The sequence below is a fragment of the Homo sapiens genome, chromosome 7 (assembly GCF_000001405.40).
Source record: "Homo sapiens chromosome 7, GRCh38.p14 Primary Assembly".
Classification (NCBI taxonomy): domain Eukaryota; kingdom Metazoa; phylum Chordata; class Mammalia; order Primates; family Hominidae; genus Homo; species Homo sapiens.
This window is the reverse complement of record NC_000007.14, coordinates 83708228-83721923: the sequence shown is the minus strand read 5'-3', so window position 1 is coordinate 83721923 and position 13696 is coordinate 83708228. Positions and strand designations below refer to the sequence as shown.

The 13696-nt window shown below is 39.0% G+C and overlaps 1 annotated feature.

Moving 5' to 3' along the window:
- Positions 12237–13436: an enhancer, noted in NCBI's record as "BRD4-independent group 4 enhancer chr7:83337804-83339003 (GRCh37/hg19 assembly coordinates)". NCBI's record gives its function as "activates an origin of replication core promoter dependent on BRD2, P300/CBP, MED14 and CDK7 cofactors, and independent of BRD4, by STARR-seq in HCT116 cells {active_cell/tissue: HCT116}" and the evidence as "EXISTENCE:reporter gene assay evidence [ECO:0000049][PMID:35650434]".

The following is a 13696-nucleotide window of genomic DNA, read 5'->3' as shown; positions in this document are numbered from 1 at the left end:
TGATTAGTTTTATTACACGAACAAAAAATAATTTAAACAGTTCAATATTTTAAGCAGTTAAAGTTTTTGTTCAATTACTACTCCCAGTGAACTGCAATAGGACCCAAGGTACAGGTACAATTTTATATTTATTATGCAGTGAAAAAGTGCACCCTGTGTAGAATTACAAGGCTCTAATTTCATTGAAAGTTTCTGTAAGGTCATAAACCAAGAGGCTGAAAAACAGAATGTTTAAAACCCTGATATGAAAAGTTAAAGACTAGTATTAACTCAATATAGTGGGTAATCTAATCTGTATATTATTTCTTTCTTAAATACCCATTTCCCAGTTCCGCATCAAAATTTGTAAGTTATAAGATATTTAGCAAAAGTTTAGTATTTCATTTAACAATCAGTAATTACCAATTTTAAAACTTATGCCAGTAGGAAATTAACTATTTTCTTGCCCTAGAAATAAGATAAATTTAATTAAAATTAATGATAGTGAAAACATTTATTAAAATGCACATATAATTTAGAACAATTTAATCAAGATCTACCTTTTGCAAAATGTCAGGCAATCATTGCTGCAATAAATTTCAAAGTACTCCAAGGTAATAAGAACGTCTCTATCCAGAGCTATAAACTCTCCTGTGTAGCTTGGGATATTTCACAAGCAACGGGATCTAATAAGGAAATCTTGTTCTCATTTCCTATTAGCTGGGTCTCAGCTTGAGCCTACCTATGCAAGCTGACCCAATTCATTAAATTTTTTTTTTTTTTTTTTTTTAACCAAAGACAGAGAACTTTGGTGTTGGGAAACCTTCATTTGTGAAAAATAATATCCCAGGAAACATTGAACATTCAGAATATGGCATAATAAAAAATCTTTTTTTTTTTTTAAGACGGAGTTTCTCTCTTGTTGCCTTGGCTGGAGTGCAATGCTGCGATCTCGGCTCACTGCAACCTCCACCTCCCGGGTTCAAGAGATTCTCCTGCCTCAGCCTCACGAGTAGATGGGATTATAGGCACTCGCCACTACGCTAGGCTACTTTTTGTATTTTTAGTAGAGATGGGGTTTCACCATGCTGGCCAGGTTGGTCCCGAACTCCTGGCCTCAGGTGATCCGACCACCTTGGCCCCCCAAAGTGCTGGTATTACAGGCGTGAGCTGCCGCACCCGACCTGCCACAGTAAAATTCACACTAGGTTTGTATCCTAGTCCAAGCTTCCCATAGATTTGCATAGGTGTTGTAAGGATACGGAAGCTATAAATAAAAGGTTCAAGAACTATTTTCAAACAAAAATTAGTGTGAGAGACTGAGAATCTTAAGACAACTGCAGTAGGAGTTGTAGCTTCCTGAATGATGAATAATGCAGTGTGGCTTTGACATCAGGATCTCACAGCACAGCATTATTAGGGCACACACTACAGCTTATTTCCTGAGCCTGTGGTGGGTAGCCTTGGTATCTTCATTAGTACCCACTCTGAAGCAGTAGCAAACGTTGGCACTTAGGGCAACTGCATAGAAAGCAATGGAAGGCTGGCTCTACGGTGAGAACAGCAAGCAAAAGCATTAGCCCCTCATCCAGAGTGAGTGGACAGCAGTGGCACAGCTGATGAAAGCCAACTTTAAATGTGTAATTTGAAATGCCCCCGGGGGACACTTAAAAAAAAAAAGTGAAAGAAATCTTAAGGGATCAAAGGTTCTTTAGAAGCAGAGAGGGGCAAATATTGGGGAAAATTTATTTATTACTTATGATATACCACACCATTTCAATTGAAAGCTTATACAGTCTTGGAAAACAGACCACAGTTATTAATACTATCATGTGAGCAGGTGAGGAGGTTCATTCCTGTAATCCTAACCCACTTTAGGAGTTCCAGGTTTGGGGAGGACCATTTGAGTCCAGGAGTTTGAGACCAGCCTGCAATAGAGTGAGGCCCCGTTTCTACAAAAAATAAAAAACAAAAATTAGCCAGGCGTGATATCTCACACCTGTAGTCCCAGCTACTTGGGAGACTGATGTGGGAGAACATCTTGAGCCCAGGAGTCAGAGGCTGCAGTGAGCTATGATTACACCACTGCCTTTTTACCTGGATGACAGATCAAGACCCTGTCTCTAAAAATAAAAAAAAAATAAAACTGCCATGGCTAAATAAAAATACAGGGTATCTTTACTGTTATTTCCACTACGTTTGTCAAACAGACTGCTGACTCTTAAGTTTCTGTAACTGCTAAGACTACATGCTTACTCTGTATCGGACACTCTTCTAAGCACTGTACATATTTTAATTATTTGAATCTCACAATGATCTCCTGAAGCAGGTAATATAATAATCCTATTATATTGGCTAGGAAACTGAGCAACAGCAAAGGTAAGTAACTTACCTAAGGCCATGTGATGAGTAAGTAGCAGAGAGTAGATTCAAATTCAGGTATCCTGGCTCCAGAACCCATGTTCTAACTTCCTTTTTCTTTAGAAGAAATTATTCTAAAATAAAATCCTTAATGTTCAAACCGCAAAATTTATACCTGATTTTTTCAAGTGCTTCAGAAAATACATACTCTCTTGTACATGGCTTAATAGTTCATCAATTGTGAAAGAAAAATAAGCATAAAAGTAAATTAAATGATGTCGTAAGTTTACTGTTGAAAGTCAGTTTGCAGTCTTTGAAATATTGTGACAAAATTTGAATTAAAAGAAAGAGTGATGGATGTTTCACTATATTATTTTACTGTGTTAACTTTCCTTGTGTAACTAGATCAACAGGATAGATCTTTATTAGATCATGGCAAAAAGATCTGTGCATGTGACTAATGGAGACAATCTAAAAGATGATAATATATTCATTCCAATACATTTGATGCTTTTGGTGTTAGCCAACAGTCCAAATGCACTCCACTTCTACAACAATTTGGAATGGAGAAAGGCCTGCCTTTGTGCTTTTAGGATTTAGGAAGAAAAAGGGAAAGAAAAGCAACCATCTATATACCACATGACTGAAATAGTTATTTTTAGTAATGGTTCAGGGAAGAGTACTTACGGCAAATGGATGAAAAAGAACACAGGGAGTCTTCTCACTTCATGACAAAAATATTAAAATAATAGCTATAATTTTTTTTATCAAACAATCACAGATGCAGTAAGAGAAATAGAGATGAATAGAAGACTATCTGCCACATAGACATAAGATAGAAATGCACATCTCTGAGCCCAGCAGATGCTGGTATTCACTAAAGAATGAATATCGGGAGTAGTAGCAGAGCCTGGGGTCCCAAATCCTATCCAAAAGACACTGAAACCTGACAGATTATCAGGATCCAGAATCAGGCCCTGCACAGGAAGCAAGAGAATCAGCTGTGCTCCTTGATTATGTAAAAGCTCGCCCTGCTTGTTCATGGTTGTATCTAGATAGTTATTTACAGTTGTATGTTCTCCTTGCTCGTGGTGAAATTAGGAGGAAGAAAGCAAACGAATACCTGCCTGCTGCATTTTGTTGGAAGACAGGAGCTACAATTTTCTCTTGAATCATAATTCTCCACCTTATAAAATAAGAACTGGGATGGAGGTATGCATTTCCCTGATTTTTGAACCTGTGCAATGCACAAGGAAGGGTCAAGCAAAAGAAAAGGACTACTCTCAAATAAGACTAGCTAAGGAAAAAGAAATCCAAAGCAAATGAGGAAATATAAATCCACTAAACACAGTTAAAAACCTCCCAAGTAGATCATTTAAAAAATGACTTCAAAATAAATGAGGTTAAAATCCTTAAAGCAAAAAAGGAGGGGGAAGAGTTATAAAACACGATCAGCTGATGTATGTGTCCTCTGTTTATCAATTGTTTTCAATGTATATTTATTTATATAGATGATAGATATAGCTAGGTAAATTTGATAAAGAATAATTAGAAATCATAGAAATATGAAAAATTCAGTGATTGTAATAAAAATAAACTTAGTAGAGGAAAAACTTCAATAGAAAATTAAGAAATTAGATGATAGAAGGGATGAAATTACTAAGGAAACAACAGCTAGAGAAGGAAAACGTGAAAGATAAATAAAAATGCAAGAAAATGAATTGAGAAGTACCAATATCCATCTTTCAGGGATGCTGGATTGATAAGGAAGATGAGTAAGAGACAATATTTAAAGAGATAAATTCTGCAAATTTTAAAAGTTGAGATAAGCCATAAATCTTCAAGTTTAAAAAGCACATAGATACATTATGGTGAGAAAGCTTTGCATTTCAAATGGAAGGAATATTTCAAAATCTACTAGAGGGAATATATTAACACTGCAATTCTCATGAGCAATAATAGGTTACAAATAATAGTGGTTAAAATATTCAAAGTACTATAGTTAGAAAAGGTAACTTAATCCCAGAATTGCATGAAACATGAATGTATCAGTGCCAAGAAGATGGCTGAATAGGAACAGCTCCAGTCTATGGCTCCCAGCATGAGCGACGCAGAAGACAGGTGATTTCTGCATTTCCAAGTGAGGTACCAGGTTAATCTCACTGGGGCTTGTCAGACAGTGGGTGCAGGACAGTGGGTGCAGCCCACTGAGCGTGAGCCGAAGCAGGGCAAGGCATCACCTCACCCAGGAAGCGCAAGGAGTCAGGGAATTCCCTTACCTAGCCAAGGGAAGCTGTGAACAGACGGCACCTGGAAAATCAGGTGACTCCCACCCTAATACTGTGCTTTTCCAATGGTCTTAGCAAATGGCACACCAGGAGATTATATCCCGGGCATGTCTCAGAGGGTTCCACACCCATGGAGCCTTGCTCATTGCTAGCACAGCAGTCTGAGAACGAACTGCAAGGCAGCAGCGAAGCTGGGGAAGGGGCGCCCGCCATTGCTGAGGCTTGAGTGGGTAAACAAAGTGGCTGCAAAACTGGAACTGGGTGGAGCCCACTGCAGCTCAAGGAGGCCTCCCTGCCTCTGTACACTCCACCTCTAGGGGCAGGGCATAGCTGAAAAAAAGGCAGCAGAAAATTCTACAGACTTAAATGTCCCTGTCTGACAACTTTGAAGAGAGTAGTTGTTCTCCCAACATGCAGCTGGAGATCTGAGAATGGACAGACTGCCTCCTCAAATGGGTCCCTGACCCCCGAGTAGCCTAACTGGGAGGCACCTCCCAGTAGGGGCTGACTGACACCTCACACGGCCATGTGCCCCTCTGAGATGAAGCTTCCAGAGGAACGATCAGGCAGCAACATTTGCTGTTCTGCAATATTTGCTGTTCTGCAGCCCCTGCTGGTGATACCCAGGCAAACATGGTCTGGAGTGGACCTCCAGCAAACTCCAACAGACCTGCAGCTGAGGGTCCTGTTTGTTAGAAGGAAAACTAACAAACAGAAAGGACATCCACACCAAAACCCCATCTGTATGTCACAATCATCAAAGACCAAAGGTAGATAAAACCACAAAGATAATGAGAAACCAAAGCAGAAAAGCTGAAAATTTTAAAAATTGAGCTCCTCTTCTCCTCCAAAGGAACACAGCTCCTCGCCAGCAGCAGAATACAGCTGGACGGAGAATGACTTTGATGAGTTGAGAGAAGAAGGCTTCAGATGATCAAACTTCTCTGAGCTAACGGAGGATGTTCGAACCCATTGCAAAGAAGATAAAACCCTTGAAAAAAGATTACATGAATGGCTAAGTAGAATAACCAGTGTAGAAAAGATCTTAAATGACCTGATGGGGCTGAAAACCATGGCTTGAAAACTACGTGACACATGCACAAGCTTCAGTAGCCGATTCCATCAACTGGAAGAAAGGGTATCAGTGATTGAAGATCAAATGAATGAAATGAAGTGAGAAGAGAAGTTTAGAGAAAAAAGAGTAAAAAGAAACAAAGCCTCCAAGAAATATGGGACTATGGGAAAAGACCAACTCAATGTCTGATTGGTGTACCTGAAAGCAACGGGGAGAATGGAAGCAAGTTGGAAAACACTCTGCAGGATATTATCTGGGAGAACTTCCCCAATCTAGCAAGGCAGGCCAGCATTCAAATTCAGGAAATACAGAGAATGCCACAAAGATACTCCTCGAGCAGAGCAACTCCAAGACACATAATTGTCAGATTCACCAAAGTTCGAATGAAGGAAAAAATGTTAAGGGCAGCCAGAGAGAAAGGTCGGGTTACCCACAAAGGGAAGCCCATCAGACTAACAGTGGATCTCTCGGCAGAAACTCTACAAGCCAGAAGAGAGTGGGGGCCAATATTCAACATTCTTAAAGAAAAGAATTTTCAACCCAGAATTTCATATCCAGCCAAACTAAGCTTCATAAGTGAAGGAGAAATAAAATCCTTTACAAACAAGCAAATGCTGAGAGATTTTGTCACCACCAGGCCTGCCTTACAAGAGCTCCTGAAGGAAGCACTAAACATGGAAAGGAACAACCAGTACCAGCCACTTCAAAAACATGCAAAATTGTAAAGATCATTGATGCTAGGAAGAAACTGCATCAACTAACGAGCAAAATAACCAGCTAACATCATAATGACAGGATCAAATTCACACATAAGAATATTAACCTTAAATGTAAATGGGCTAAATGCTCCAATTAAAAGACACAGACTGGCAAATTGGATAAAGAGTCAAGACCCATCAGTGTGCTGTATTCAGGAGACCCATCTCAATGCAGAGACACACATAGGCTCAAAATAAAGAGATGGAGGAAGATCTACCAAGCAAATGGAAAACAAAAAAAAGCAGAGGTTGCAATCCTAGTCTGTGATAAAACAGATGTTAAACCAACAAATATCAAAAGAGACAAAGAAGGCCATTACATAATGGTAAAGGGATCAATTCAACAAGAAGAGTGAACTATCCTAAATATATATGCACCCAATACAGGAGCACCCAGATTCATAAAGCAAGTCCTTAGAGACCTACAAAGAGACTTAGAAACAAAAATAATGGGAGACTTTAACACCCCACTGTCAACATTAGACATATCAACGAGACAGAAAGTTAACAAGGATATCCAGGAATTGAAGTCAGCTCTGCACCAAGCGGACCTAATAGACATACAGAACTCTCTACCCCAAATCAACAGAATATGCATTATTCTCATCACCACATCACACGAATTCCAAAATTGACCACATAGTTGGAAGTAAAGCAGTCCTCAGCAAATGTAAAAGAACAGAAATTATAACAAACTGTCTCTCAGACCACATTGCAATCAAACTAGAACTCAGGATTAAGAAACTCACTCAAAACCGGTCAACTACATGGAAACTGAACAACCTGCTCCTGAATGACTACTGGGTACATAACGAAATGAAGGCAGAAATAAAGACGTTCTTTGAAACCAAGGAGAACAAAGACACAACATAGCAGAATCTCTGGGACACATTTAAAGCAGTGTGTAGAGGGAAATTTATAGCACTAAATGCCCACAAGAGAAAGCAGGAATGATCTAAAATTGACACCCTAACATCACAATTAAAAGAACTAGAGAAGCAAGAGCAAACACATTGAAAAGCTAGCAGAAGGCAAGAAATAACAAAGATCAGAGCAGAACTGAAGGAGATAGAGATACAAAAAACCCTTCAAAAAATCAATGAATCTAGGAGCTGGTTTTCTGAAAAGATCAACAAAATTGATAGACCACTAGCAAGACTAATAAAGAAGAAAAGAGAGAAGAATCAAATAGATGCAATAAAAAATGATAAAGGGGATATCACCACCGATCCCACAGATACAAACTACCATCAGAGAATGTTCTAAACACCTCTACGCAAATAAACTAGAAAATCTAGAAGAAATGGATAAATTCCTGGACACATACACCCTCCCATGACTAAACCAGGAAGAAGTTGAATCCCTGAACAGACCAATAACAGGCTCTGAAATTGAGGCAATAATTAAGATCCTACCAACCAAAAAATTTCCAGGACCAGACAGATTCACAGCTGAATTCTACCAGAGGTACAAGGAGAAGCTGGTACCATTCTTTCTGAAACTATTCCAATCAATAGAAAAAGAGGGAATCCTCCCTAACTCATTTTATGAGGCCAGCATCATCCTGATTCCAAAGCCTGGCAGAGACACAACAAAAAAAGAGAATTTTAGACCAATATCCCTAATGAACATTGATGCAAAAATCCTCAAAAAAAAATACTGGCAAACAGAATCCAGCAGCACATCCAAAAGCTTATCCACCATGATCAAGTGGGCTGGTTCAACAGCCCACCAAGGCTGGTTCAACATATGCAAATCAATAAACGTAATCCATCATATAAACAGAACGAAAGACAAAAGCCATATGATTATCTCGATGCAGAAAAGGCCTTCAATAAAATTCAACAGCCCTTCATGCTAAAAACTCTCAATAAATTAGGTATTGATGGGACGTATCTCAAAATAATACGAGCTATCTATGACAAACCCACAGCCAATATCATACTGAATGGGCAAAAACTGGAAGCATTCCCTTTGAAAACTGGCACAAGACAGGGATGCCCTCTCTCACCACCCTTATTCAACATAGTGTTGGAAGTTCTGGCCAGGGCAATTAGGCAGGAGAAGGAAATAAAGGGTATTCAATTAGGAAAAGAGGAAGTCAAATTGTCCCTGTTTGCAGATGACATGATTGTATATTTAGAAAACCCCATCGTCTCAGTTCAAAATCTCCTAAGCTGATAAGCAACTTCAGCAAAGTCTCAGGATATAAAATCAATGTGCAAAAATCACAAGCATTCCTATACACCAATAACAGACAAACAGAGAGCCAAATCATGAGTGAACTCCCATTCACAATTGCTTCAAAGAGAATAAAATACCTAGGAATCCAACTTACAAGGGATGTGAAGGACCTCTTCAAGAAGAACTACAAACCACTGCTCAAGGAAATAAAAGAGGACACAAACAAATGAAAGAACATTCTATGCTCATGGATAGGAAGAATCAATATTGTGAAAATGGCCATACTGCCCAAGGTAATTTATAGATTCAATGCCATCCCCATCAAGCTGCCAATTACTTTCTTCAGAGAATTGGAAAAAACTACTTTAAGGTTCATATGGAACCAAAAAAGAGCCCGTATAGCCAAGATAATCCTAAGCCAAAAGAACAAAGCTGGCGGCATCATGCTACCTGACTTCAAACTATACTACAAGGCTACAGTAACCAAAACAGCATGGTACCAGTACCAAAACAGAGATATAGATCAATGGAACAGAACAGAGCCCTCAGAAATAATACCACACATCTACAACCATCTGATCTTTGACAAACCTGACAGAAACAAGCAATGGGGAAAGGATTCCCTATTTAATAAATGGTGCTGGGAAAACTGGCTAGCCATATGTAGAAAGCTGAAACTGGATCCCTTCCTTACATCTAACACAAAAATTAATTTAAGATGGATTAAAGACTTACATGTTAGACCTAAAACCATAAAAACCCTAGAAGAGAACCTAGACGATACCATTCAGGACATAGGCATGGGCAAGGACTTCATGTCTAAAACAGCAAAACCAATGGCAACAAAATCCAAAATTGACAAATGGGATCTAATTAAGCTAAAGAGCTTCTGCACAGCAAAAAGAAACTACCATCAGGGTGAACAGGCAACCTACAGAATGGGAGAAAATTTTTGCAATCTACACATCTGACAAAGGGCTAATATCCAGAATCTACAAAGAACTCAAATAAATTTACAAAAACAAATCAAACAACCCCATCAAAAAGTGGGCGAAGGATACGAACAGACACTTCTCAAAAGAAGACATTTATGCAGCTCATCATCACTGGCCATCAGAGAAAATGCAAATCAAAACCACAATGAGGTATGATCTCACACCAGTTAGAATGGCGATCATTAAAAAGTCAGGAAACAACAGGTGCTGGAGAGGATGTGGAGAAATAGGAACACTTTTACACTGTTGGTGGGACTGTAAACTAGTTCAACCATTGTGGAAGACAGTGTGGCGATTCCTCAAGGATCTAGAATTAGAAATACCATTTGACCCAGCAATCCTATTACTGGGTATATACCCAAAGGATTATAAGTCATGCTGCTATAAAGACACATGCACACGTATATTTATTGCGGCACTATTCACAATAGCAAAGACTTGGAACCAACCCAAATGACCATCAGTGATAGACTGGATTAAGAAAATGTGGCACATATACACCATGGAATGCTATGCAGCCATAAAAAAGGAGGAGTTCATGTCCTTCGTAGAGACATGGATGAAGCTGGAAACCATCATTCTGAGCAAACTATCTCAAGAATAGAAAAGCAAACACTGCATGTTCTCACTCATAGGAGGGAATTGAGCAATGAGAACAGTTGGACACAGGAAGGGGAACCTCACACACTGGGGCCTGTCATGGGGTAGGGGGAATGGGGAGGGATAGCATTAGAAGATGTACCTAATGTAAATGAGGAGTTAATGGGTGCAGCACACCATCATGGCACATGTATACATATGTAACAAACCTAGACGTTGTGCATATGTACCATAGAACTTAAAGTATAATAATAAAATAATGGAAAAAAATGAATGTATCTTTTGAGAGAGAGGCAGACTGACATTTATTTTCAGCCACATAAAGACAAAAATATTTACTATTTGTAAATCATTTCTCAAAGAACTGCTAAACACTAATATTTTGTGTTTAATAATGAGATGAAAATTTTTGGAAAAATGTTATGGTTGATAGTTTTGGTTAGTTGTTATTTTTCTGTGTTCATAGACATGTATTATTTTTAATAGTAGAAGATGTGAAAAATATTGGTCATATCCTGAAACAATTTAAAAATGTTAGAATAATATTATACAGGAGGTTCTGCTTTTCAATTGCACATGTAAGCAGCATAGAAGTCACCAGTCTGTTCTAGTGACTAGAAAAAGCTGAACAAACAGAAAAATCAGCAACTCCTCCTGAATCAGTAAGGGAAATGAGGTCACAGGGCAAACTGCTGCCTTCAAAACTGGAGAGACAAAACAAGCAGATACGGAGGCAGTTAAAATTGCCTTAGCGAAAGTGTGACAGTAAGAGCCATTATGACATAACTGACTCCGTCTTGCTTCTAACTTCATAGGCTGGCTATCTTTGCTCATTCCTGGGCATGGGCCAAGCTAACATTGGGAGGAATTTAGTTTATAATTTAAATCATAATAGCTCTTCTCAAAGACTATATTGTTCTTGTAAAACTAATGAAAGGCCACCAATTAAGAGGATGAGAGGGGCTCGAATTCTAACTAATTACTAGCATTTATTCTGGATGTCATAAGATTTGCAACTTTCCCAATTACCCTTTAAGAACTTAAGATTGGCCTTTTGGGTGTCTTTCCAGAACTCAACTAGTCCTATGGCCCCCACCTAGAAGCTAACTCAGCACATGAGGACAATTTTCCACACCCCTTTGATTGCATCCCCAACAAATCAGCATGCCCCCTTCCCTAGCCCCTGCTCACAAAACTATCTTTGAAAAACCCCTAACCTCCAAGCCTTCAGAGAGATTGATTTGAGTAATAACTCTGTCTTCCATGTGGCCTAGCTGGCCTTGCATCAGTTAAACTGTCTTTACTGCAATGCTGTGGTCTCTGTGAGTTGATTTTGTGCAGCAGGCAGGAAGAATTTGTAGGGTGGTTACACAGTTTAGCCTACCAGAGCAGAAACCTATGTGGGAACCAGTGCCTGGGTAGAAAACCTGAACTGTAATGGAGTAATTGTTGGAGGCTAAGTGTAGAGGAGTCAGAGACTTAATAACTTCAGTTATCAGGAGTCCCCACACTTTTGTGAGTTTTACTTCTAGGAATATGACCAAATTCTCACAATAAATATTTAGGAAAAATTATTTCCTGTTTCTGGCAGCAGAGGGAGGAAGAAACCATTTTGAAATACACTCACTTAATATCATAGACAGGTCCTTGGGAACCGCAGCTTTAATGAAATAACTGAAGAGCAGGTCCTAGAATAATGTCGGTTTGTTGAAAGTCTTTTCATTATAAGGTTGATGATGAGAAAACAACAAAAAAAATTGGTTTCCTTATATGTTGTCTCCTTTAAAGTTACTGTTTCCAAGAACCTTTTGACAAAGTTAAGTGAACCCTTACTATACACTAAAACATTCTGTTCTTCTTAAGAAGATCTGCCCTCAGGTAAAACTACTTAACCAGAGCCTAACCTGCTGGGGTTTTATCAGAGCCTAATTGATTTGGAAAAAGAGAAATACCCAATTCCAGCCAGCTCTGGTCATCCTGTCACACCAAAAGGTGGTGTAGGAGTGAAGAAATCTTCCCCCTTCACTGCACCTTTCAGCAAAGGAATAGAAGACAATTGTGTTTCTCTTTGGAGATCTTTTGAGGATCTAGGTAAATGAAGAAACTTCAGAGAACAGGCTCCTCCTGTGCTTTGGGAGAGAGAGAGAATTGAAAGACAGAGATTGTGGGGAAAGTCACAGAGAAAACTTGGTTGGATGGCTTATTTCTAAGGACTTTCCATTTTTGAAGCAGTTAACACTCTAAGTATTACAGTCTCACCAGTGCACCACAATGTAGCAGTCTCTACTTGTAAGGTATCACCTGGAGTTTTTGTCTCATGACCAAGAGAATTAAGGAGCATAGACAAAAAGGGTGAGGTTAGAAGGTGAAAGGGTGAAAGTTTAATAAGCAAAAGAAGAAAGCTCTCTGCTGTGGAGAGTGGGCCTAGAAGAAGGTTGCTGTTTTTACAGTTGAATGCAAGGGCTTTTATAATAAACCAGTGAGGACTGGGCAGCTCATTTGCATAAGGTGCTAATTTCTGGCAGCTCTGCCCTGTCCTCCTAGTGCACATGCAGGCCCTTAGCTTGAATTACTCCATATTGCTTTGTTCCACTTACTGCACATGTGTTAGGGGATAAAATTGTCCATTAAGGGCATGTTTGAACAAGTCACCTGTGTAGCCTTTCTTATCTATGAGACTGTGGGCATGTCTTGGGCAAGCCCCCCAATATGGAAGTTCCCTTATCTGTACCTGAAGCTTGAGTTTTCAGGCTGTTCTTCTGTTTGAAATAATTGGACCGAGGACCCACCCTAACTGCCTGCTTGACCCATTTCTTCCTTCTCCTCTCTCACAAGGCCCCGTATTCTGAGATATTGTTTTCTAAGTACCAATAGTGGGGATGCAGGTACTAAAAAAAATGTAAAATTCACAGTCTAGAGGAACAGAGACTCACTAAATGACTAAGACCTAATCATAGGACTATAGAACTCTTCCCTTCACCACACACTTTATCTCCACATTACTATAGGCCTATGTATAGCAGTTTCTTTCACCTAGTACAACGTATTTGGCTATCAAGGAAAAATTACAAGGCATACTAAAAGGCAAATAACACAGTCTGAAGAGGAACAAGCATCAGAATTGAACATGGCAGGGATATTGGAATTATCAGACAGAAAATTTAAAAAACTATGATAATATGCTAAGGTCTCTAATGGATAAAGTAGATAGCATATACGAACAAATGGGCAATGTAAATAGAAAGATGGAAACCCTAAGATGCTAGAGATCAAAAACACTGTAACAGAAACAAAAATGCCTTTGATGGGCTTATTAGTAGACTGAATAGAGCTGAGGAAAGAATCTCTGAGTTTTAATATATATCTCAATAGACACCTCCAAAACTGAAAAGCAAAGAGAACAACAACAACAAAAAACAGAGCAGAATATTCAAGAACTATGGAACAACTACAAAA